This window comes from Homo sapiens, chromosome 12, assembly GCF_000001405.40.
Source record: "Homo sapiens chromosome 12, GRCh38.p14 Primary Assembly".
Taxonomy (NCBI): domain Eukaryota; kingdom Metazoa; phylum Chordata; class Mammalia; order Primates; family Hominidae; genus Homo; species Homo sapiens.
Genome location: NC_000012.12, coordinates 125,059,591 through 125,085,057, shown reverse-complemented (window position 1 = coordinate 125,085,057; position 25,467 = coordinate 125,059,591). Strand labels below are relative to the sequence as shown.

Here is a 25,467-nt window from a genome sequence, read left to right as displayed (position 1 = left end):
ATATACTCTAGCTCTATAATTCTGCCATTTCAAGAATGTTATATAGGCTGAGAGAAGTAGTTCATGTCTATCATCCTTGCTCTTTGAGAGGTTAAGGCAGGAAGATCACATGAGGTTAGGAGTTCAAGACCAGCCTGGGTAAGATAGTGAGACTCTACAAAAAATGTTAAAACTAAGGCTAGGCAGGGTGGCTCATGCCTGTAATGCCAGCGCTTTGGGAGGCCAAGGTGGGCAGGTTGCTTGAGCTCAGGAGTTCGAGACCAGCCTGGACAACTGGTAAAACCTCGTCTCTACAAAAAAAATTTTTAAAAATTAGCCAAGCATGGTGGTGCTTACCTATAGTCCTATCTACTCGGGATACTGAAGTGGGAGGATCACCTGAGCTCAGGAGGTTGAGGCTGCCATGAGCTGAGATCACACCACTGCACTCCAGCCTGGGTGACAGAGTGAGACTCTGTCTTGGAAAAAAAAAAAAAAAATTTAAAAACTAGCCAGGCGTGGTGGTGTATACCTGTAGCCCTAGCTGCTTGGGAGGCTGAGATGGGACGATCACTTGAGCCCAGAGGTTTAAGGCTGCAGTGACCTATGTTCGTACCACTGCACTCCAGCCTGAGCAACAGAGTGAGACCCTGTCGAAAAGAAAGGAAAGAAAGGAAAGGAAAGAAGGAAAGGAGGGGAGGAAGTGAGGGAGGGAGGGAGAAATGTTACATGAAATATAGAAAGTGATCCTTTTTTTTTTTGAGATGGAGTCTTGCTCTGTTGCCCAGGCTGGTGTGCAGTGGTGCGATCTCAGCTCACTGCACCCTCCGCCTCCCAGGTTCAAGCAATTCTCCTGCCTCAGCCTCCCAGTTAGCTGGGATTACAGGCACCTGCACCTAATTTTTGTATTTTTAGTAGAGATGGGGTTTCACCACGTTGGTCAGGCTAATCTCAAACTCCTGACCTCAGGTGATCCAGTGACCTCGAACTCCCAATGTGCTGAGATTACAGGCGCGAACCACCGCACCCAGCCAGAAGGTGACCTTCTAAGATTGGCATTTTTCATTTGGTGCAATGCCACTAAAATTCACTTAAGTTATTGCATGCATCAATAATTCACTTCTAGGCCGGGCACGGTGGCTCACGCCTGTAATCCCAGCACTTTGGGAGGCTGAGGCAGGTGAATCACCTGAGGTCAGGAGTTCAAGACCAGCCTGGCCAACATGGTGAAACCCCGTCTGTACTAAAAATATAAAACTTAGCCGGGCGTGGTGGTGGACGCCTGTAATCCCAGCTACTCAGGAGGCTGAGGCAGGAGAATTGCTTGAACCCAGGAGACGGAGGTTGCAGTGAGTCAACATGGTGCTACTGCACTCCAGCCTCGGCGACCGAGTGAGACTCTGTCTCAAACAAACAAACAAACAAAAAAATTCACTTCTTTTATTGCTCAGTAGTATAATTTTTTAGAAGATTAAAAGTGACACAAGCTTACTGTCAAAAACTTTGATAGTACAGAAAAAAATTAAAAAAAAAACGATCAACCACCCGTTATCAAAGAAATGTATGTTAAAACAGGAAGATACCAATTTTCGCCTAACAGACTGTACAAATGGGAAGGGACAGTGTGTAGCCGGCCTCCACAATGGCCCCCCAGTGACTCCTGCCCGCTGGTATTCACACCTGACCTGGGGAATCGATGGGTTACTGTGGAAATGACAATGACTTCTGAGCTGTGGTCATAAGAGTCACTGCAGTTCCCATCTGGCTCACTCTAGGGGATGCCAGTGGCCATGCTGTGAGGTCACTGAGGAAGCCTCTGGAGGAGGCAGCCCACACGAGGAGGAACGAGGCCTCCCACCAACAGCCACGTGGGCACACCATCTTGGATGTGGTTCCTCTAGCCTCAGTCAAGCCTTCAGATGCCTGCAACCCCTGCCAGCATCCTCACTGCAACTTGATGAGTGATCACCCAGCTAAGCCACTGCTGGATTTGTAACCCACAGAAACTGGGAGGTAAGAAATGTTTGTTCTAAACTATGGCTTTCAGGAAATCTATGACATGGAAAGATAACTAATACAAGTAAGACTCAGTGTTGTGAAGGTACAGGAAAATGATTTGAAGATAATTTCTACAGTATAGAAGTTACTCTTTTGACCATTACCCTTGATGCAAATATTTTGCTCCTGATTGATCATCGCTTTTCAGTTCTATAACATGAATTACCTCTTTGTGTGTGTGTGTGTGTCTGTGTGTGTTTGAGACAGAGTCTCGCTCTGTCACCCAGGCTGGAGTGCAATGGCACCATTTCAGCTCACTGCAACCTCCGCCTCCCAGGTTCAAGCAATTCTCCTGCCTCAGCCTCCCGAGTAGCTGGTACTACAGGCACCCGCCACCACACCAAGCTAATTTTTGTATTTTTAGTAGCGACAGGCTTTCACCATGTTGGCCAGGCTGGTCTCGAACTCCTGACCTTGTGATCCACCCACTTCGGGCTCCCAAAGTGCTGGGATATACAGGTGTGAGCCACCGTGCTGGCGAATTGTCTCTTTTAGAAAGTGAATAAACATCCTAATTTCCCTTTGGCATAAATCTGGCTTTTTCCAGCCAGGTGTTACAGCTCACACCTGTAATCCCAGCACTTTGGGAGGCTGAGATGGGAGGATCACTTGAGCCCAGGAGTTCGAGACCAGCCTAGGCAATATGGGGAGACCCCATCTCTTAAAAAAAAAAAAAAATGAAATAGCCAGGCACAGTGGCACATACCTGTGGTCCCAGTTACTTGGGAGGCTGAGGTGGTAGACTTGCTTGAGCCCAGGAGGTCAAGGCTACAGTGAGTTGTGACTGCACCACTGCACTCCAATCTGGGCAACAAATCAAGACCCTGTCTCCAAAAAAAAAAAAAAAAATCAGGCTGGGCGCAGTGGCTCATGCCTGTAATCTCAGCACTTTGGGAGGCGGGCAGATCACTTGAGGTCAGGAGTTCAAGACAAGCCTGGCCAAAATGGTGGAACCCCTCTCTACTAAAAATACAAAAATTAGCTGGGCATGCTGGCACGTGCCTGTAATCCCAGCTACTTGGGAGGCTGAGACAGAAGAATATCTTGAAGCCAGGAGGCGGAGGCTGCAGTGAGCCAAGATGACGCCATTGCACTCCAGCCTGGGCAACAAGAGTGAAACTCCACCTCAAAAAAAAAAAAACTCGTTTTTTTTTTCCTATTTGCCTAGAGTTGTACGCGTCTGCCCTTCATCCTCTCCTTGCTGCCCTGGGGTAGCCTTTTTATTACCTCTCCCACATTCCCAGCCCAGAAAACTTTCCATCATGTGAAAATACTCGGTAAGCTGATAGCTACTCTTCAAAAGCAAAATGTGCTGCGCAGGCAGCTGTTCTAACAATCTCAACACGGATGTGCTAATGCATGTTGTTTGCTCTACTCGCTGGAGCATGAAGGCAATTGTGCACATGTATGTATTTTTTTAAGCAGGGCATCGCATGGCCTCGACGGGGATTACCCATAGGAGAGATGAGTTTTGCTGAGAACGCCTGAGTGAGCATGGAGCAGAGCTCCGTGAGCACCTGCACCCAGCTGGGTAAGGAACAAGTCAGGAAAAACATGCAGAAAACGAAGCACAATGATCTTAAAGCCCCCGAGCCAATAATCGGCTGCTTAGGCCCTTGCTTAAGTAAGGGATGCGATTTGTAAACTAACTGTGATCACTGGCATAAGGGTCCTTATTCCCACTGCAATTATAAGGAAGGGATAAAGCTCATTAAAAGAAGGGGCTCTGCTAGGCGTGGTGGTTCACGCCTGTAATCCCAACACTTTCAGAGGCTGAGGCGGGTGGATCACTTGAGGTCAGGAGTTCAAGACCAACCTGGCCAACATGGTGAGAAACCTCATCTCTACTAAAAATACAAAAATTAGCCAGTGTGGTGGCGCACGCGTGCAACCCTAGCTACTCAGGAGGCTGAGGTGGAAGGATGGCTTGAACTGGGGAGGTGGAGATTGCAGTGAACTGTGATCACGACACTGCACTCCAGCCTGGGTGACAGAACGAGACTCCATCTCAAAATAAAATAAAATAAAAAGGCCAGGCACGGTGACTCACGCCTGTAATCCCAGCACTTTGGGAGGCCAAGGCGGGTGGATCACGAGGTCAGGAGATGGAGACCATCCTGGCTAACACGGTGAAACCCCATCTCTACTAAAAATACAAAAAATTAGCCAGGCGTGGTGGCGGGCGCCTGTAGTCCCAGCTACTCGGGAGGCTGAGGCAGGAGAATGGCGTGAACCCGGGAGGAGGAGCTTGCAGTGAGCCGAGATCAAGCCACTGCACTCCAGCCTGGGGGACAGAGCTAGACTCTGTCTCAAAATAAATAAAAAATTAATAATAATAAATAAAAAATAATTTTAAAAAGGGGGGGCTCAAATACTTAAGAGAAGAGATGGTGGGAGTGAAGAGAAGACAGGCTAAGGTAAAGGGGTAGGGGGTGTGAAACAGACACAGAATTATAACCCACCCTCGAGACAGGGCCGGGTTTAAAAAAATAAAAGGCAACTGGCTGGATTCAGCCAATACTGTATGTAACAGAGAGAGAGAGAGAGAGACACCCCACCCAGTTCAGTCTCCACCCAGACACCCGTATTACAAGTTCTGGGAAGACTGGCTTATGTCATCACTAGGAATCAAGTATATTTTTAGTTTTTTAGTTTTGGGTTTAGATTTTTAGTTTTGGGTTTTTGGGTTTTTTTTAAGGATTCACATTTGACCGTTCCCACTTTACAGGAGAAACCAGGAGCTCATGAAGTGTCTGAGACATTGGGTTAAAGCACACACATTTAAAGAGACGAGGAAAAGAAAAGAGACGCAGCGTTCTCGTTCTCCTTCTCAGGATTACGAAAGAGGCGACTGGGTTGGCACCCTAGGGAGGTTCCCACATGCACTGCAGTGCCTGAGGCAGGCCAGTCTCACAGGAGCCTCTTAGGGATCAACGAAATGTGGTCTGCCTGTACTGTGGCAGATTACTAGGACATAAAAGGAATGAAGTACTGATCCATGCTACAATGTGGATGAACCTTGGTAACACTGTGCTGAGCGAAAGCAGCCAATCACAAAAGGCCACATATCGTATGATCCAATTATACAAAATGTCCAGAACAGGGAAACCCAGGAAAGAAAGCAGAGAGGTGGGTGCCAGGAGCTGGGGGAGGCAGGAACAGAGAGTGACTGCTAATTGGTATGGGGTTTCCTTTCGGAAAATGGAAATGTTCTGGAACTAGGGGTGGTGGCTGCATAACCTCTTGAAAAATGCTAAAAACCACTGAGCTGCAGGCTTTAAAAGGGTATTTCTGTGGTATATGAATTATATGCTAATTGGAAGAAAGGAGCTGGCTGGACGCAGTGGCTCATGCCTATAATCCCAGCACTTTGGGAGGCCAAAGCAGGTGAATTGCTTGAGCCCAGGAGTTCGAGACCAGCCTGAGCAACATGGCAAAACTTCATTTCTACAAAAAAACTTAAAAAAAAAAATTAGCCGGACACAGTGGTGCATGCCTGTGATCCCAGCTACTCAGGAGGCTAAGGTGGGAGGATCGCTTGAGCCTGGGAAGTCGAGGCTGCAGTGAGCCACGATCGTGCCACTGCACTCCAGCCTAGGCAATAGAGTGAGACCCTGTCAGAGGGGTGACCCTGGGGACGCAGAGCTGGAGCACGGAGCAGTCCCCTAAGTCTCCTTTCCCATGATGCAATCCCTTCCCGTTCTCCACCCAGCAGCCAGGTCACCACGGGATCACCCAGCCCTTGCTCAGAACCCTGAGGATGGCCCACTCCCTCTCACACCTCCCCACACTCCTGGACTCACCACCGAGGCCCCCCAGCTCAGCCTTCCTGGCTGTTCCCCACAGACACAGAGCCTCCTCCAGCCCAGGGCCTTCTTCTGGCTGTTCCTTGTGCCTGGGAACATGACTTCCGCAGAGGTGCGGGGAGGAGATTCCAGGTACAGGGGTCAGCCAGAGGAAGGCTTCATCAAGTTCCGTAGACTCCTCCAAACAGGCTTTCCCTGGCAGCCCTGTCTAAAACAGCCCTACACCCCACCCCATCATCCCTTTCCCATCACAATGCTTTACTTATTCTTCCAAGCATGTTTTCTTACTTATTGTTAAACCACCACGCTTTGCCCCCCGGAACATCAGCGTCTCCCAGGGCAGGCAGCTTGTCTCCTTGCAGAGGAGGCTTTTTTTTTTTTTTTTTTTTTTTTTGAGACGGAGTCTTGCTCTGTCGCCCAGGCTGGAGGGCAATGGCATAATCTCGGCTCACTGCAACCTCCACCTCCCGGGTTCAAGCGATTCTCCTGCCTCAGCCTCCAGAGTAGCTGGGATTATGGGCACCCACCACCACGCCTGGCTAATTTTTTGTATTTTTAGTAGAAATGGGTTTCACTATGTTGGCCAGGCTGGTCTCGAACTCCTGACTTCAGGTGATCTGCCCGCCTCAGCCTCCCAAAGTGCTGGGATTACAGGCGTGAGCCACTGCACCCAGCCCTAATGAGGCATTTAATACAGATCTGAGGAACAAATGGATGTAACAGACAGGTGGGCATGCAAAGGGCACGGGAGAGCCAGTCAGAGCCCTGACCCCAGACCACCTATCTACTCTGCCATGACCATGTCAAGGCTGAGAACCAAGGAAAACAGCAATGGAACACTGACCAGCCCCATATGGTACGTCGAGACGTTGCTCCATGGCTCTTCACCAGGAATGTGCATCAGAAGTGCCCATGGGCTTTGAAAATACATGGAAGCCTGGGCCCCAGCCCCGGAAGATGTGTCCCAGTAAGTCTCGGTGGGAACTGGACTGCCATGATCTTTACCAACTGCACAGGGGCTGCTGGTCCTTCCCACGATGGCAGAAGGGAGGCCCTGCTCTGTAGCCTGGGCAGGGCCACTCACTGCCTGTTTCCAGTGGTTTGGTTTCTTGTGCTGATCTAGGGAGTGAGTGAAGTTTCTGATGAGTATTTTATACCACAGTGAATTAATCTTTCTCTGGCTTCTAATAAAAATTGCCAACTGGGGCCGGGCATGGTGGCTCACGCCTGTAATCCCAGCACTTTAGGAGGCCGAGGCGGGGGGAATCACCTGAGGTCAGGAGTTCGAGACCAGCCTGGCCAACATGGGGAAACCCCATCTCTACTAAAACTACAAAAATTAGCCAGCAATGGTGGTGCTCGCCTGTAATCCCAGCTACTTGGGAGGCTGAGGCAGGAGAATCACCTGAACTCAGGAGGCAGAGGTTGCAGCAAACTGAGATCACTGCATTCCAGCCTTGGCAACAGAGGAAGATTCTATCTCAAAAAAAAAAAAAATTGCCAACTTGGAGACTCATTTTGGCATTTAATATAGATTGTCAACTGTTTCTGTGTATGTTGGCCTTATTTCCATGATTAGAATGTAATATTCTGGAGGCAGAACACGACTTCAGTTTATCTCTGAGTCTTACATTACAAGATGTCTTAGACACAAAGAGTGTCCAATAAACTCTTGCTGAACATACAATTTTTTTTTTTTTTTTTTGAGACAGAGTCTCACTCTGTCGCCCAGCCTGGAGTGCAGTGGCGCAATCTCAGCTCACTGCAAGCTCCGCCTCCTGGGTTCACACCATTCTCCTGCCTCAGCCTCCTGAGTAGCTGGGACTACAGGCGCCCGCCACCACGCCTGGCTAATATTTTGTATTTTCAGTAGAGACGGGGTTTCACCATGTTAGCCAGGACAGTCTCGATCTCCTGACCTCGTGATCCGCCCACCTTGGCCTCCCAAAGTGGAACACACAATTTAAAAATAATAATAAATTTTTAAAAGCTGCACAGGGGCCGGGTGCAGTGGCTCATGTCTGAAATCCCAACACTCTGGGAAACCAAGATGAGAGGACTGCTTGAGCCCAAGATTTCAAGACCTCCCTGGACAACATAGCAAGACCCTGTCTCTACTAAAAAAAAAAAAAAAAAAAAATCAGCCATGCATAGTGGTGTGTGCCTATAGTCCCAGCTACTCAGGAAGCTGAGGTGGGAGGATTGCTTGAGCCTGGGAGATTGAGGCTGCAGTGAGCCATCCATGATCATGCCAGTGCACTCCAGCCTGGGCCACCACACCCGGCCTCTGCACCCAGCCTCAACTTTATTTTAAAAGGAAAAGCCAATGGGAAGAGATTCTAGTTATAGTTCCATCATTAACTTTCTGTGTGACACAAGCTAGTTACTTAATACTGAGTATCTCCATTTTGCCCATAAAGCATGACCACACACTGGCCCTTTCCCCTCCCCAGCAAAAATAAAGTCGACAGAAATCTTAATTACATCAGAAAGGTGCCAACATATGGTTTAGAAATCCTATCTCTCCAAATATGTGGCACCGCATGCATGCACCATCTAGAACTTCCACGGAGGAAATCCCAGGTCTCGCCATCAGGACTTACTTGCAATGTAAAGGGCAACTCTGTCATTCTCTTTGTGCCGCAGGAGGTTTTCTGCATAGTTGAGCCGACTGCCTTTGAACCACTCGGGGACATCTGCGATTCCTTTCGATGTGTCCACAACCTATAGAGAATGACAACAAACCAAGACGCACACACATGAGACTACGCTACAGATCAGCAAAACATGAGACTATGTCACAAATCAGCAAAAGTGGTTCTTCTTCCCAGGAAGCCAGCTCACTCATTGGCCCAGAGCATTTTTAAATCATTTTATGGACTGAACTCTGAACTGGCCTAAAAGCTAGAAACTGAAAGTAGGGATTAATGCCAACGGAAAACAACCATCCCCAGTAACATATGTGTTCCACAAATACTCATTAAACACCTACTCAGTGAGAGATCCTAAAGACAAAGACGACACCCAACACGTCAGGCTCTGCCCAGACGCATGGAAACCAGGAGAGCAAGCTCCAGGACCACCTGCCCCTTGCCTACAACTTTTGGGGGCTTCAGCCTTTGCTTCCTTCCTTGGAGTGCTGGAACCTTGATTTTTATTGTCAAAGTCCCAAAAGATCAACATTTCAAAATGGTTTGCCCCAAGGAGACAATAAATTCGACTTTGAATGGCAGGACTCCCTTTTTCCCGATATTTATTGATTTACAGTGTAAGGAATTGAAAAGTTTTTTCTAAGCTGCAGGTTAAAAAAATAACAAAACTCCAGCCAGGCGCAGTGGCTCACGCCTGTAATCCCAGCACTTTGGGAGGCCGAGGCAGGCGGGTCACAAGGTCAGGAGCTCGAGACCATCCTGGCTAACACGGTGAAACTCCATCTCTACTAAAAATACAAAAATTAGCCAGGCATGCCAGCGTGCGCCTGTAGTCCCAGCTGCTGGGGAGGCTGAGGCAGGAGAATGGTGTGAACCCAGGAGGCGGAGCTTGCAGTGAGCCAAGATCACGCCACTGCACTCCAGCCTGGGGGACAGAACGAGACTCCATCTCAAAAAAAAAAAAAAAACTCCAGCTGGGCACAGTGGCTCACGCCTGTAATCCCAGCACTTTGGCAGGCCAAGGCAGGCGGATCACCTGAGGTCAGGAGTTTAAGACCAGCCTGGCCAACATGGTGAAACCCCATCTCTACTAAAAATGCAAAAATTAGCCGGGCGTGGTGGCGGGCGCCTGTAATCCCAGCTACTCAGGAGGCTGAGGCAAGAGAATCACCTGAACCCAGGAGGTGGAGGTTGCAGTGAGCCGAGATGCACTCCAGCCTGGGTGACAAAAGCGAGACTCGGTCTCAAAGAAAAATAAAGAACGAAACTTCTAAATAGTTTAAAAAACTAATGCCGGGCACGGTGGCTCATGCCTGTAATCCCAGCACTTTGGAAAGCTGAGGCGGGCAGATCATGAGGTCAGGAGGTTGAGACCATCCTGGCCAACATGGTGAAACCCCATCTCTACTAAAAATACAAAAATTGGCTGGGCGTGGTGGCGCATGCCTGTAATCCCAGCTACTCGGGAGGGTGAGGCAGGAGAATCACTTGAACCAGGGAGTTGAAGGTTGCAGTGAGCCGAGATCACACCACTGCACTCTAGCCTGGCAAAAGAGCAAGAATCCATCTCAAAAAAAAAAAAAAAAAACTATGACAATGTGGCCAGGCATGGTGGCTAATGCCTGTAATCCCAGCACTTTGAGAGGCTGAGGCGGGTGGATCACCCAAGGTTGGGAGTTTGAGGCCAGCCTGGGCAACATGGCAAAACCCTGTCTCTACTAAAAATACAAAAATTAGCCAGGCGTGGTGGTGCATGACTGTAATCCCAGTTACTCAGGAGGCTGAGGCAGGAGAACTGCTAGAACCTGGGAGGTGGAGGTTGCAGTATACTAAGATGGCCCCACTGCACTCCAGCCTGGGCAATAGAGCAAGACTCCACCTCAAAAAAAAAAAAAAAAAAAAACTACAACAATGTAAATGTACTTAACATCACTGAAGTGTACAGTTTAAAATAGTTAAGATGGTTACATAATAGTTTATGATATATGTATTTTAACATAATTAAACCTTTTTTTTTGAGACAGGGTCTGGCTCTATTGCCCAGGCTGGAGTGCAGTGGCGCAGTCACAGCTCACTGCAGCCTCAACCTCCTGGGCTCAACCAATCCTCCCACCTCAGCCTCCTGAGTAGGTGGGACCACAGGCATGCACCACCACGACCAGCTAATTTATTTTTTTGAAGACAGGGTCTTGCTATGTTGCCTAGCCTGCACTCAAACTCCTGAGCTCAAGGGATCCTCCCATCTTGGTCTGTCAGAGTGCTGGGATTATAGGTGTGAGCCACTGCACCCAGCCCCAAATATTTAAAAATTAAAAACAAACAAACAAACAAACAAAACTACTATTTAGGATCACTCAAGTTCCCAGGACAGGGCCTGGGGTCCCCATACAACAGAGGATTAACAGGCTGCAAAGTTCTCGATGAGGTCTGTGATAATTTAATGCCAGTTCTCTAGGGCAATGACTTTTTCCCATCTGCATGAGGTTGTAAAAAGGAGATACAATTCAGTATTCCCCAAAATTAGCATTTCACTTTGAAGCACGACCACAAAAAGAGATGATATCCACGGAAAATCTCTACTTACCTCATCATACACACGTGAGAAGACAATTCCACTGAATTTCCAGAACTCTGCCCAGAAGTCTGAATATGACTCAACGGACCAATGGTACAAGTCATCATAACTCTCTAAAAATGAAATAGCTCAGATTAACCTTAGAAGGGAAATCTTGGCAATCCATTAATAAGATGGACACACCTCAGAAGCCTTGAGCATGTCCAAGCGAGCCAAATTCATCTGAGGAGAAATGGTCTGGGGGAGGAAGGAGCTTAATTTGTATTGACGCAAACCCAACACCACTAGTCCCCAAAAAGAACAAAAGCTGAGGCGGTGATGTTTTGAGTCATCTTCAGTGATTTTATATCTTAACTACCATGCCTAAGAACATAGACTCTAGAGCCCAAATGCCCGGGTTCAAATCCTGGTTCTGCCACTTATTAGCTTTGTGACCTCAGGCAAGTGCAAAATGGGGATAATTAATAATCCCCCTCCAGCCACAGGGCTGTTGTGAGGATTTAAATGAGCACATGTAGAAAGTGCTTAGAACAGGGCCTTGGAAATTAACACCATGGCATTAGGAGTTCACCATTATTATACCATACAACCTTAGGAAATTTATAGTCGATACATTGGAAAACCCAGAAGTTCAAAACTGGTAGTCTGTTGATGACTTCTCAAGGCCAGTATAATGTTGGGAGGTGTTACTACTTATTTCGATTTTTGAAGCAATATGTTCACAAGACTCAAAATTACGAAAGTGTAAAAAGTCATATGGAGGCCAGACGCGGTGGCTCACGCCTGTAATCCCAGTGCTTTGGGAGGCCGAGGCAGGTGGATCACCAGGTCAGGAGCTCAAGATCAGCCTGGCCAAAATAGTGAAACCCCATCTCTACTAAAAATACAAAAAAAATTAGCCGAGCATGGTGGCGGGTGCCTGTAATCCCAGCTACGTGGGAGGCTGAGGCAGAGAACTGCTTAAACCTGGGAGGCCGAGGATGAAGTGAGCCGAGATCGCGCCACTGCACTCTAGCCTGGGCAACAGAGCGAAACTCCATCTCAAAAAAAAAAAAAAAAAAAAAAAAAACAAAAGTTACATGGTAAAAGGTCTCCCTCCTTTTATTCCACAACAGTCTAACTTTTATGCCCAGGGGAGTTCCCCCTTGCAGATTCCACTCAGTTATACTCAAAATAACTTTTCCCCACCATCAAGACATGAGCTGGAAACTTGACACAAAGAGATGTATTTAACTCCTAAAGGAAATGTGACTTCACTGAAAAACTAACCCCAGCCTCGCTGAGGACTCTTTACCCTCTCAACTGCCTAGGATCCAAGTGGATTGGCCACAGTGAGCCAATCAGTCCTTAGGGACAGGAGAATTTTATCCTATCGGGGACCAAGGGAAGCCATACAGTGCTTCTGTTTCAAAGCACAGCCTTGCTAGGGCTCCAGGAAGGCAGAGACTGGCAAGGATATAATAACATAACAGGAAGATGGCCAATGGGGTATCAGGAATGGGGGAAAAGGTATAATACAACCGCTGAGCTGAATTATCTCACTGCCATCAGTGAAGTCAAGCTTGCCCATCCTCACTGTTCCCAGCCCCGGTGGGGAAGACAAGAAGAGACACGATGCTCCCTGCCCTTCAGCAGTGTCCCCTCTGACTGTGGTGTCCAGGAATGGTCCTCAGTTATGTTGGACAAGGAGGGATCACAAGAACTGGGGCAGGGACAGCTGAGAGGATCGCTTTAGCCCAGAAGCTCAAGTCTGCAGTGAGCTATGATCCCACCACTGCACTCCAGCCTGGGTGGGCGACAGAGTGAGACCCCATTTAAAAAAAAAAAAAAAGCGCCAGGAGCGGTGGCTCACGCCTGTAATCCCAACCCTTTGGGAGGCCGAGATGGGTGGATTGCTTGAGGTCAGGAGTTTGAGACCAGCCTGACCAACATGGTGAAATCCCATCTCTACTAAATACAAAAAATTAGCTAGGTGTGGTGGTGCATGCCTATAATCCCAGCTACCTGGCAGGCTGAGGCAGGAGAATCTCTTGAACACAGGAGGTAGAGGTTGCAGTGAGCCGAGATCGTGCCACTGCACTCCAGCCTGGGCAACAAGAGCGAAACTCTGTCAACAACAACAACCAAAAAAAAGTATCACAAAAGTGCATTCGCCAACAGCATCACTAAGGAAGGCAGACGCGGCCAGCCCCATGAATCTGGAAGGATGCAGCCACAATGGCCTCTTGACACCACAAGGACCCTGGGAGACGACAGCAAAAGCGGCCGACTTCAGGTGGAAACTTTCCCACTGTCAGCAACTCAGCCCTCTCATCAAATGCGACTCTTCAGACACACTCTTCTGCTCCCACGCTCCCCGCCTCTACCAGGGAGGACGCTGCAACCGCAAGCCCAGGTCTGATTCAGCCTGTGCAAGCTGCTCACACTTAAAAGCCTGTTGTTGCTTTTTTATGGGCTACTTCGTGAATTTGCATCTCCACCTTGTGCAGGGATCATGCAAATTTTTCTACCTAGTATATGTGCTGCCAAAGCAAGCACATAAATCCATTTTTAAATGAAACTCCGGCTTCTCCTGAGAAAAGTGAGTACCTGACTGTGGTCATCAGCCAGTAATTGTCACCTCCAGGCATTCATGGCCCTCTATGGTCCCCTTTCCAACCTGAGAGGGCTGATCTGTGTCACCAACAGGGTATTGTGGAAGTGGCCAAACGTGAGTTCCAAGGCCAGGTTGTAACGGTCACTGCAGCCACATGGCTCTCTTGGGTCACCTGCTCCAGGAGAAGCCAGTGAGGATGCTCACGCAGTCCTAGGTGGCATATGGCAGATGTCTCCTGCACTACCTTGCTGCCACCACCAGCACTAACTTACCGCCATGTGAGTGAGCTCTTGGGGACGGGTGCGTTCCCACTGCAGCCCCTCAGGGACCCTGAGCCAGAACCACCCAACTAGCCACTCCCCAGTCCTGACCCACAGAAACTCAGAGGTGATAAAGGTTTATTCTTGTTTTAAGTCGCTAACTTTTGGGCTGATTTGTCACCAGCAATAGGTAACAAATGCATTGTCCACACCACACAGTGAGGATTAGCTAGAACTGGGAACAGCTGCCTCATCGGGCCCTCAGGCAAATGCCAGAGGCAACAACTAACCAGACGGCAGACTACAGCTCCACTGCCTACAGCTACAAAGTCTTAACTGAGACTTCGTGCCTTGGTTTGTTCAGCTGTGAAATGGGGCTACTACTACCACCTACTTGGTAGGATTACTGAGAGGATTACATTAGTTGATACATATCAGGTGCCAGATGGAGCCCGACATACAGAGAGAGCTCACTGAATAGTAACTATTATTATCTTGGGCACCTGTCTGGTCCCTACAGGCTTCTGAATTTTCAGCCCTTCTTCCTCTCCACCTACGAGAATCTTGGCCAGCCCACACCTTCAAATCTTAGCTGAAGATTTTATCTGCCTCTTTTTTATTATTCATTTTCTTAGAGACAGGATCTTACTCTTCTGCCCAGGCTGGAGTGCAGTGGCATGATCATAGCTCACTGCAGCCTCTAACTCCTGGACTCAAGCAATCCTCTTGCCCCTGCTGCCCAAGTAGCTGAGATTACAGGCTATCCGCCCTTCTAAACCGCATTCTCTGCTAAACCCAGCGCACTGCTGTTGTGCTGGACCCCTGTTAACTCCAATAGATGGCACCAGATTCCAGAGATCTGGAAGCAGTGAGCCAGACACAGGGTTTATTGGAAACTTACCTACAGGGATGGTCTGGGGGCAGCAGGCTGGACAGGAGAACCGCAACCGCTTGTAAAATGCACGCAGTTTATACAGCACCTTCACTCAGCACCCTCCCCTAGCAACTTCCACCTGGTAACCTTTACTTAATCCAAAAGAAAGGGCCTCAATCCCCCTGTAGAGCTTGCATTCCATGGGATGGGCCGGGGGTTCAGATGTTCCTCATAGACAAGGAATAAATCCGGGTTGGCCACTCCTGGATTCCTTAGCTTGGAACTCTGAACACACATTCTTCTGAAGTTACAGCCGTCAGCTGCATCTGTCATACAACAGTGCAGTACTCAGAATGTCAACACCAATGCCCCATTCGTGGAATGCCCAGCGTCCACTAACGTGTGGCACTATCTTCACATGAGCTCTCTCCCCTAGCCACCCGGAGCTATTTGAGAACAGGGCCCAAGCCTTCTATTTGTTGGCAAACTCCATCCCAGCTGCTTGCACAGAGAGCCGACGTGCAGCTTGTGGTACACAGAAGGACACTTGGCACAGTCCTCCAAAAGAGCATGCCTTTGAAACTGGTGCCACCTCCCTGCCTCCTAATTACAGAGGGCTAGTACATGCAGCATGTCTGCCAGAGCTTGCTAGAGGCCTGGAATCACAGGCACATATGCCAGGCTGGAGCTGCAGCCGACCCCAAGGAAGTCTGCATCAGAGGACCCCAGAGCCCCACGTGGATGTGCAGGGAGTGCACAGGTGGCTTCAGCTGGAAGCAGTGACAAGAACCAACCAACCTGTGGTTATGGCAGTGGAAAAGAGGGTGGGTAACCCTACCAGAGCCTCCCAAAATGCAGGGATAGAAACGTCCTGCCAACCTTGGTCTGGGAAGACGGGCTCACGGAGAGGCGGCCGGAGTGGGGAATGCCCCTGCCTTCCTCCCTGAAGCCTGCAGGGCGGGAGCAAGGCTGCTGAGGATGTGTGCCTTGCTCTCTACTGACATCCAGTCCAAAGCATGGCCCCATACTGTATACAGGCTACAAGTGAGCCTCTGCTGGGACACAGAGGAGAGGATACGAGTTCGCGGGCACTGTCTTTAAGCAATAAGAATGCTCACAGCCGGGCGCGGTGGCTCACGCCTGTAATCCCAGCACTTTGGGAGGTCGAGGTGGGTGGATCACAAGGTCAGGAGTTCGAGACCAGCCTGGCCAATATGGTGAAACCCCCGTGTCTACTAAAAATACAAAAAAATTAGCCGGGCTTGGTGTTGCATGCCTGTAATCCCAGCTAATCAGGAGGCTGAGGCAGGAGAACTGCTTGAACCCGGGAGGCGGAGGTTGCAGTAAGCCGAGATCGCGCCACCACACTCCAGCCTGGGTGACAGAGCGAGACTCCATCTCAAAAAAAAAAAAAAGAATGCTCACAAATACACAAAAAGGCAGGGCAGAATGAAAGCCCAAATTACATGTGCTTGGAGAGAAGAGGGAAGGCAGAAATATTCAAAGAGAATAATCAAAAAGAAGATAGCATTTGAGCTGGATCTTCAAGCAAAGCCCAAAGCCTCCAGGGCCAGGAATATGAAAGGGGAGAGTCAGGTGGAAATCACCTTCAAGAGTGGTAAGAGGAGAAAAGGACAAAAACAGTGCTAAATGCCCTCCTCCAAACTAAAGGGAGGGGCCTCACTCAGCTCCGGACAATGCTGCCACGTTGGGAATGCAGACCCAGCATGACAGGCCTTGGGGATCTCAGAGGTTGGAAAGCTTGCTTTTCATATATGGTCTCCCAACTTTTATTTATTTGAGACAGAGTCTTACTCTGTCGCCCAGGCTGCAGTGCAGTGGCGAGATCTCGGCTCACTGCGACCTCCACCTCCTGGGCTCCAGCAACCCTCCCACCTTAGTCTCCAGAGTAGCTGGGACTACAGGCGCATGCCACCACACCCAGATAATTTTTTGTATTTTTCGTAGAGATGGGGGTTTCACCATGTTGCCCAGGCTGGTCTCAAACTCCTAGGCTCAAAAGATCCACCCATCTCAGCTTCTCCAAGTGCTAGGATTACAGGTGTGAGCCACCACGCCCAGCCCCCTCTCCTAACTTTTAAATGCAGGCAACTCAACAGTGTGTCTGGAGATGAGACCTGGCCCATGGGCCACCAGTCTGAGAGCCCTGAAGGAGGGAAAGGAGCTCCGCAGCCATGCTCGGGCCCTCCCAGCACTTGCTCATGTTTACTCCACAACCCCAGGGACCCAGGGCAGAGCTGAGCACTGGGCTTGACCATCTCCTGTCACCTGCACACCCACTCAATGACTCAGGTCCTGTTATGCCCATTTTACAGATGAGGAAACAAGGCATGAAGAGATCCAATGACTTCCTCCTGATCACACAGCTGGTAAGTGGTAGAGCTAGTTCAAAACCCAGGTAGTCGGCCGAGCACGGTGGCTCACACCTGTAATCCCAGCACTTTGGGAGGCCGAGGCAGGTGGATCACCTGAGGTCAGGAGTTCTAGACCAGCCTGGCCTACATGGTGAAACCCCGTCTCTACTAAAAATACAAAAATTAGCCGGGCATAGTGGCAGGCACCTGTAATCCCAGCTACTCGGGAGGCTGAGGCAGGAGAACTGCGTGAACCCAGGAGGCAGAGGTTGCAATGAGCCGAGATTGCGCCGTCGCACTCCAGCCTGGGGGAGAAAAGCGAGGCTTAAAAAAAAAAAAAATCCAGATAGTCAGATTACAAATCCCTTCTCTTCAACACTTCCCACGGAGGAAGGTGGTTTCACCCATCTAATAGGGCTGCCCGATCTGAAATTATTTCATAACATCAGGGCTAGACAGGCACCAGACCAGCATTCTGTTATTGCTGGCAGAGGAAACAGATGGAATCAAGGCAAGGTGACACAGAGGAAGAACATAATCCCACATGGCAGCCTCCTGCTTCTTCCAGGAGTCTCCAGGCTGCCCTAATCCAACACATACTCATTTACCAACTGCTGTCCAGAAGCCCCTGGGGCAACAGACTACACCTGTCTCCAAGGGAGAGGAAGGGAAGGAGAGGAACAGCTCTGGGTTAGCCTAGGAAAATGACTCTGTGGAAGCTCCCCACTGCTGTGGAGGGCCTGGAAGCTGCCAGGCAGCCGTCTGCAATTTTGTGGTCAACAAGGAACCACTGAGAACTTCTGAGCCAAGGAGTGACAAAGTAAGACCTGTATGCTTCAAGATTACTCTGGCAAAGCAAGCAGGATGCAAATGGATGGAAAAGCAGGAAGCAGGAAAACCAACCACTGTTTGGTGAGGAGGAAAGGAGGCCCCAGAACCCCTGACAAGGGGCTGCAAAGGAGGAGATGTGAGCGACATGGGGCTGTGGCAGAAGACTTCTGGTGCCACAGGTGACTGGGGTGTCCATCCCTGTGAGCCTGAGCAAGAACAGTGACGCCACCAACAGAAACAAGGGAGTCCCTGCGCCAGCGGAGGGGGTGAGGAGGGGAGACCATGAGTTAAAAATCCCCTAGGAGGCCAGGCGCCGTGGCTCACACCTGTAATCCCAGCACTTTGGGAGGCCAAGGCGATCGGATCACCTGAGGTCAGGAGTTCGAGACCAGCCTGACCAACATGGAGAAACTCCGTCTCTACTAAAAATACAAAATTAGCCAGGCGTGGTGGTGTATGCCTGTAATCCCAGCTACTCGGGAGGCTGAGGCAGGAGAATCACTTGAACCCGGGAGGCGGAGGTTGCAGTGTGCCGAGATCTCGCCATTGCACTCCAGCCTGGGCAACGAGAGAGAAACTGTCTCAAAAAAAAAAAAAAAAAATCCCCTAGGAATACCTAGGGGAGGCAGGGTGGAGGGGTGGAGCTGGTAGTTGGGCAAGCCAGCTAGAGCTCAGGAAGAGCACCCGGAGCGGTTACCCCACGGAGAAGGAGCCTTTGCCCCACCCGCACCGAGAGAGGCAGTTTCTGAGGTTCAAGGTGATGGGTGGAAAGAGAGTCTTTTACTAGGTTCTGTTTGGGGGCTGGGAGTGTAGACACGTGGACAGGGCCTCCTGCCTGACCATCCTGCTAGGTGCTGGCCTCCAGCAGGGGCAGCTGGAGATGAGGGAGGTCAGGGGGACAGAGTGCACGGCACTGGGGACTGGCAAGGGACCCCCACAAACAGAGGAAGAGCTGCAAGTCAAAAAGGCCCTATGTCCGGGGGAAGCCCCCACAGGCCGGAGGTCAAGACTCCAGGGAGCACCTCACAGGTAGGAAAGCCTAGCAAGGGGTCACACGGTCAACAGGCAGCTGGCCCTCCCGAGGGGTGACACTCCCGGGGAGAGGGTGACCCCCACATGCAGAGGAGACGCTGCAGAGTCAGGAAGTGCCAGGAGGTGCTGTGGAGGGGTGATGTTCCCCAAGACTGGGGGGAACCCCGCAGTCAGAAGGCCTCCCCGCCATCAAGTGGCTCCTCCAGCCCCAGAAGCGTGAAACTAGCCATGGGGAGACCACCCAACCACCCTGCACGGCTCCCGCCCATCCCCCGCAGGCCCGGCCGCGCGCCCGACTCTCACCCAGCGCCAGGCCGCAGGCGGCGCCCACAGCCGCCCGGAAGCGGTCCATCTGCGTGTTCTTCTTACTGTCAGGCTCCCACATCACCTGGCACTCCAGGATCTCCTCCCGACCGGGGCGCTCCTCCTTGGACATGGCGGCGGCGGGCGGCCGGGGCTGCGACGAGGGCTGGGGACCAGGGGCCGGGGCTGAGGCGAGGGCCGGGGACCTGGGACCGGAGGAAGCGACGGTCAGGAGCGCCTGGCGGGCTGGGTCAGCGACGGCGGCGGCGGGGAACAAGGGACTGAACGGCCGCCGCCGCCTCCTGCGGGCCGCTTGGCCCAGGCCCCGCCCCGCAGGCCCCGCCTCGAATCCCCGCCCCCTTCCAGGCCCCGCCCTCCCGCCTGTAACCCTCCGCTGAGTGCAGCGCCGCTCAAAGGAGTGCTCGCAGCCGCCGGCTCCAGCGCCCGCGGCCGGGGGGCGTGGGGGTGAGGGGCGCTCACGAGCCTTGGCCCCAGCTCCCCGACCTCACCTGGAGCTGGAGGGCGTTAGGGCAGCCGGAGAAGCCAGGCGTCCGAGCCCGCTGTTTCCTACACGTGTACATCATTCATTCGCTATTTCTTCCTGCAGGTCTTTACTGAGAGCCTGCGGCATTCGGAGGACTTTGGGAGCTTTGCGGATACAGCAGCGAACAAAACAAAATTCTTGTTCTCTGTCAACAGGAGAGGAGGGGTACAGGTGTGAGGAAGACGGGAGACGATTAACAAATAAGTACATCGTGTACATACACAAGATAATGTCATAGTATAATACAATAATATACATAGTATGCCAATGGGTATCAAAATACACATTTGTGAAAGGAAAATAAATCTTGGGGCCCCACTACTAAGCTAAAGGGAAAAGAAAAGCTGGGAACTGCTTAGGGCTAACCTGCCTCCATTCTATTCAAAGTCACCCCTCTGCTGAGTTAAATGCACACCTGATTGCCTCCTTTGCAGAGGCTAATTGAAAACTCAAAAGAATGCAGCCATTTGTCCCTTATCTACCTATGACCTGGAAGGCCCCCTCCCCGCCTTAGCTTTTTTTTTTTTTTTGAGTCTCACTCAGTCGCCCAGGCTGGAGTGCAATGTCCCAATCTCAGCTCACTGTAACCTCTGCTTCCCAGGTTCAAGCGATTCTCCTGCCTCAGCCTCCTGAGTAGCTGGGATTACAGGCACACGCCATCATGCCCAGCTAATTTTTCGTGTTTTTTTTTTTGTTGTTGTTGTTGTTTGTTTTGTTTTTTTGAGACGAAGTTTCGCTCTTGTTACCCAGGCTGGAGTGCAATTGCGAGATCTCGGCACACGGCAACCTCCATCTCCCAGGTTAAAGCAATTCTCCTGCCTCAGCCTCTCGAGTACCTGGGATTACAGGCATGTGCCACCACGCCTGGCTAATTTTGTATTTTTAGTACAGACAGGGTTTTTCCATGTTGGTCAGGCTGGTCTCCAACTCCCGGCCTCAGGTGATCCGCCCGCCTCAGCCTCCCAAAGTGCTGGAATTACAGGCGTGAGCTACCGAGCCCGGCTCATTTTTGCATTTTTGTAGAGACGGGATTTCACCATGTTGGCCAGGCTGGTCTTGAAGTCCTGACCTCAGGTGATCCACCCGCCTCGGCCTCCCAAAGTGCTGGGATTACAAGAGTGAGCCCAGGTCTGAGAGCACCCCCTCCAGAGCCTCCCTGATCTCCCAAAATTTGGTGGAGATCTAAAGTTTATTTTGCTGTACAACTCTTTTCTTTGCAGTTTTACTTGCTTCCAACAAGGAAGGCAAGGTTTCCTGCTTCCATGACAATGGAAGGCAGGTAACTCCTTTATGGAGTTTGAGCTCGCTTCCAACAGGGAAGATGAGGTCTTTTTTCCTGCTTCTAGAATGGTAGAGAGCAGTCTACAGCCTAAGACCCATCCCTAGGTAAGTAACTGAATTGGGGTTTGTCTTGGCTAAAGTTAAGGTTAACAGCCAGCTGGTCTTAATGTCAGAGGCATTTGAACCAGAGCAACTCCATCTTGAGTGGGGGCTGGGTAAAATGAGGCTGAGATCTACTAGGCTCCATTCCCAGACAGTGAAGGCATTCTAAGTCACAGGATGAGACAGGAGGTCGGCACAAAATACAAGTCATAAACACCTTGCTGATAAAACACGCTGCAGTAAAAAAGCCGGCTAAATCCTACCAAAACCAAGGTGGTGATGAGAGTGACCTCTGCTTGACTTCACTACTACACTCCCATCAGCACCATGACAGTTTACAAATGCCATGGCAATGTCAGGAAGTTACTCTATATGGTCTAAAAAGGGGAGGCATGAATAGTCCACCCCTTGTTTAGCATATCATCAAGAAATAACCATGAGAATGGGCAACCAGCACCCCTCAGGGTGCTCTGTCTATGGAGTAGCCATCTTTTTATTCCTCTACTTTCCTAAGGAACTTGCATTTGCTTTAGTCTGTAGACTCGCCTTGAATTCTTTATTGCGTGAGATCCAAAAACCCTCTCTTGGGGTCTGGATCGGGACCGCTTTCCTCTAACATTAATTTATCCTTACCATTAGAGCGTGCTCAGTGATCATATAAGTTGTGCCATTTTTTGTTTGGCTTAAATGCTTTTTTGGTTGCTTGTTTGTCTCTGTTTTTGTTGTTGCTTTGGTCTTTTCCCATTGGGTTTGATCAACTATATCTGACTTGATCAAATCAAAAGGAAAGTTCCAAATTGCTGGGAACAAGGACTGTAAAGTGGCTAAATTCACACACACACACACACACACACACACACACACACACACACACGTGGCCTGGTAGGGGGAAAAAACAACCAGCAAAAGAAAAAAATTAAAAGAGGAAAGATGTTTGATTTTAACTACTAAAGGGGCTTTATTTACATAAGGCCACCTTTTTGCTAGCCAGGCCAAAGTGAAAGCAATGGCTGTTGCCCCAAGCTGCAGTTCCATAGCTAAGGCTCTGCCTGCTTTTTCTAACCACGACAGCCTAGATTTAGTTCCTAAATCAAGTCCTTTCTGGTTTGCTACTTGGTACTTCTGAAATAGCAGCAATTTGTCCTAACAGAAATATAGTAATGAGATTTTAAAAAGATTTTTTTAAAGGAGCTCAATGGTTAAAAGTCAGCTTCATTAAAAGCTAACATCCAAGATGTGTGTGCGCATGTGCTCGTGTTTGTATTTAAAAGGCTATCATGTTTTTGTTTTTGTTTTTCTCTCCTAGGAACTGATGCTTTTTTTTTAGAGCAAAGGTTTTTTTGTTTTTGTTTTTGTTTTTCTCAGTTGACTGAATTCTGTTTTTTTCATTAACAGCTATTGCAACAGATGCTACTCTGGGGTTTTTAAGGAAGAGTGTAGTTTAGACACTTAGAAATGTCTTTGTTGGCCAGGCACGGTGGCTCACGCCTGTAATCCCAGCACTTCAGAGGCCAAGGCAGATGGATCACAAGGTCAGGAGATCGAGACCATCCTGGCTAACACGGTGAAACCCCATCTGTACTAAAAATACAAAAAATTAGCCAGCCATGGTGGCGGGTGCCTGCAATCCCAGCTACTCAGGAGGCTGAGGCAGGAGGATGGCATGAACCCGGGAAGCAGAGATTGCAGTGAGCCGAGATCACGCCACTGCACTCCAGCCTGGGCAACAGAATGAGACTCTGTCTCAAAAAAAAAAAAAAAGAAATATCTTTGTTAAAAAAAAAAAAATTTAAGCGTACTGTAAAAGCATCACATCGTCTAACTTCAAAATACTTCTCCCTTTTTGGAGACCCAGGATTCAATGTGGGCTCTGCCCAGAGCTCAGAGATCCAGTTAAGAGGTAGGTAGTCCTGGCCGGGCGCAGTGGCTCAGGCCTGTAATCCTAGCACTTTGGGAGGCCGACGCAGGCAGATCACCTGAGGTTGGGAGTTCAAGACCAGCCTGACCAACAGTGAGAAACCCCGTCTCTACTAAAAATACAAAATTAGCTGGGCATGGCGGCGCATGCCTATAATCCCAGCTACTCAGGAGGCCGAGGCAGAAGAATCACTTGAACACAGGAGGCAGAGGTTGCACTGAGCCAAGATCACACCATTGCACTCCAGCCTGGGCAACAAGAGGGAAACTCTGTCTAAAAAAAAAAAAAGAAGAAGAAGAAGTCTGAAATAATCTGTAATCTTTTTAACTTTTTGCTTAAAACATTGCTGATCTTTTTGTTTTTCTGAGTGAAGAAAACTTTTAAGCTATTTATAGCTTTTAACAATTGAGTACGGGATACGACTATGAACAAAATTTGGAGCATATTTGTTTCTCTCTACCTGATTTCTACAAAATTTTGGAAACTATTTGTGAGTATTCTTAACTTACAACAATACAGTTAATTGCATAAGTGCGGTAAGAACCTGTTTTCATTTGTAACAGGACACAGTTGGAGAAACAAGGCTTTGACTGGAATGGTGTGCTTTCCTTTAAGGGATCAAACTTGACTTATGGAGCAAATAAAAGCCCCTTGGAAAAACTGGCCTCATACCTCTGCCTACACAGTCCCTGTACAGGATTCCTGACCTGTGGTAAGTAAACAATGTCACTTTCTGACAGGTCCAAGAACTCCAAGTTTATCTTGGAACCTCAAGAAGAAAGGGATTCAACCAATTCATAGGTATTTGATGGTATGAATCCATGCCTGGACTCAGCTTTAAAATGTCTCATCTGAGATTCCTTCTATGGAACAAAGTTCCATCAAAGCCAATTTAAAAGCCTATGTTAAAAAATATATATTATTCTTGCAGCATTGTATACAAATAATCAGGCCAAGTATAATAAAGCAAATAAGTCATACCATTATTTGTCCTTAGTAAAAATGGGAAACTGGAGAGAGAAAAATTATGTTTCAAAAACTGTAGTACACCTGTTGTTAGATTCTAGTCTTGCTTAATGTTTTTCAATTTTTATTATTGTCTACAGTTTGGACCAAATTCTAATTTTTCTTGACTACAAGCCTGCAAAATAACGTTTTCAATTTTTTTTCTTCTTTTTTCCCATTTTTTCTAATTTGGAGTCACCAAAAACTAAGCTATGCTTTCATAAAGCCCTGCAAACTGAAGCTAGACAACTTAAACTTCAGAAGAAAATAACAGCAACCTATTTACAAACATAAGACATTTTCATCCCTGCCTACTGATGTATGGACTTCAGGGTAATGTGGCCTATATCAATTTTCCAGGATTGTTCTTTTGTTTGTTATTGCTTTTCTCCCTTCCTCCCCCGTTTTCTCTTCATAGGACATGAGACTTCACAACCTGCTAAAAATGAGCCTTCCTAATAACTTGGGACCTACCTGTCTAGGAATAAACCATTCTAGCCATGAAAGATCAGATGAAACCTGAGAGCAGAGACTCATTTTCTTCTTCTTTTTTTTTTTTTGTTTTCTTGAGACAGAGTCTCACTCTGTCGCCCAGGCTGGAGTGCAGTGGCCTGATCTCGGCTCACTGCAAGCTCCGCCTCCCAGGTTCACGCCATTCTCCTGCCTCAGCCTCCCGAGTAGCTGGGACTACAGGCGCCCGCCACCGCACCCGGCTAATTTTTTGTATTTTTAGTAGAGATGGGGTTTCGCTGTGTTAGGTTGGTCTCGATCTCCTGACCTCGTGATCCACCCGCCTCGGCCTCCCAAAGTGCTGGGATTACAAGCGTGAGCCACCGTGCCCGGCCTGAGACTCATTTTCTTCTAAAAATGCTTTCTCCAAAAGATTTTTAAAAAGAAAAGGGGGAAAGTGTGATAGAAAAATAAATCTTGAGGCCCCAAAATCATGAAGCTAAAGGGAAAAGTCAAGCTGGGAACTGCTTAGGGCCAACCTGCCTCTCATGCTATTCAAAGTCGCCCCGCTGCTCACTGAGATAAATGCATATCTGATTGTCTTCTTTGGAGAGGCTCATCAGAAACTGAAAAGAATGCAAGCATTTGTCACTTATCTACCTGTGACCTGGCAGGCCCCCTCCCCACTTCAAGTCTTCCCACCTTTGCTTCGAGTTGTCCCGCCTTTCCAGACAGAACCAGTGTTCATCTTGCATATGCTGACTGATGTCTCATGTCTCTCTAGAAGGTGTAAAACCAAACTCTGCTCTGACCACCTTGGGCACATG

At 49.0% G+C, this 25,467-nt stretch overlaps 1 protein-coding gene and 1 long non-coding RNA gene across 16 annotated transcripts in view, besides 2 other annotated features; one reads left to right on the top strand and one right to left on the bottom strand.

Annotated features, from left to right (window-relative positions):
• Positions 1-19,623, bottom strand: part of AACS (acetoacetyl-CoA synthetase) — a 77,882-nt gene extending 58,259 nt beyond the window's left edge. For 11 of the 12 annotated variants that reach the window (NR_183033.1, NR_183032.1, XR_007063117.1 and 8 more), the window contains exons 1-3: positions 19,341-19,623; positions 11,079-11,182; positions 8,447-8,567 (exon numbers count right to left, since the gene is read on the bottom strand). Coding sequence is in view for 9 of the 12 variants with exons in the window: in NM_023928.5 (NP_076417.2) it covers positions 8,447-8,567; positions 11,079-11,182; positions 19,341-19,473 (358 nt within the window). In the remaining 3 variants the exon portion in view is untranslated. Of the gene's footprint in view, positions 1-6,687; positions 6,781-8,446; positions 8,568-11,078; positions 11,183-19,340 lie in introns of those variants that run through there. The other variant, XM_011538692.3, reaches the window with a different exon arrangement.
• Positions 1,440-1,951: an enhancer, noted in NCBI's record as "NANOG hESC enhancer chr12:125567653-125568164 (GRCh37/hg19 assembly coordinates)". NCBI's record gives its function as "activates a minimal SCP1, AML or CMV promoter by ChIP-STARR-seq in naive H9 embryonic stem cells {active_cell/tissue: H9 hESC(naive)}" and the evidence as "EXISTENCE:reporter gene assay evidence [ECO:0000049][PMID:30033119]".
• On the top strand, positions 1,763-23,783 carry LOC105370052 (uncharacterized). 4 transcript variants are annotated; one of them, XR_001749365.2, is made up of 4 exons: positions 1,905-1,992; positions 3,463-3,568; positions 19,948-20,055; positions 23,749-23,783. It is a non-coding gene; the product is annotated as an uncharacterized LOC105370052 (long non-coding RNA). The 4 variants fall into 4 exon arrangements; XR_945491.3 differs by lacking the exons at positions 19,948-20,055; positions 23,749-23,783 and adding an exon at positions 4,766-5,626 and having other exon boundaries at positions 1,763-1,992; positions 3,460-3,568; XR_001749364.2 differs by lacking the exon at positions 23,749-23,783 and having other exon boundaries at positions 19,948-20,237.
• Positions 19,363-19,982: a silencer, noted in NCBI's record as "silent region_5080". NCBI's record gives its function as "represses an Ori minimal core promoter by ATAC-STARR-seq in GM12878 lymphoblastoid cells {active_cell/tissue: GM12878}" and the evidence as "EXISTENCE:reporter gene assay evidence [ECO:0000049][PMID:35858748]".
• Positions 23,784-25,467: the final 1,684 nt, after the last annotated feature.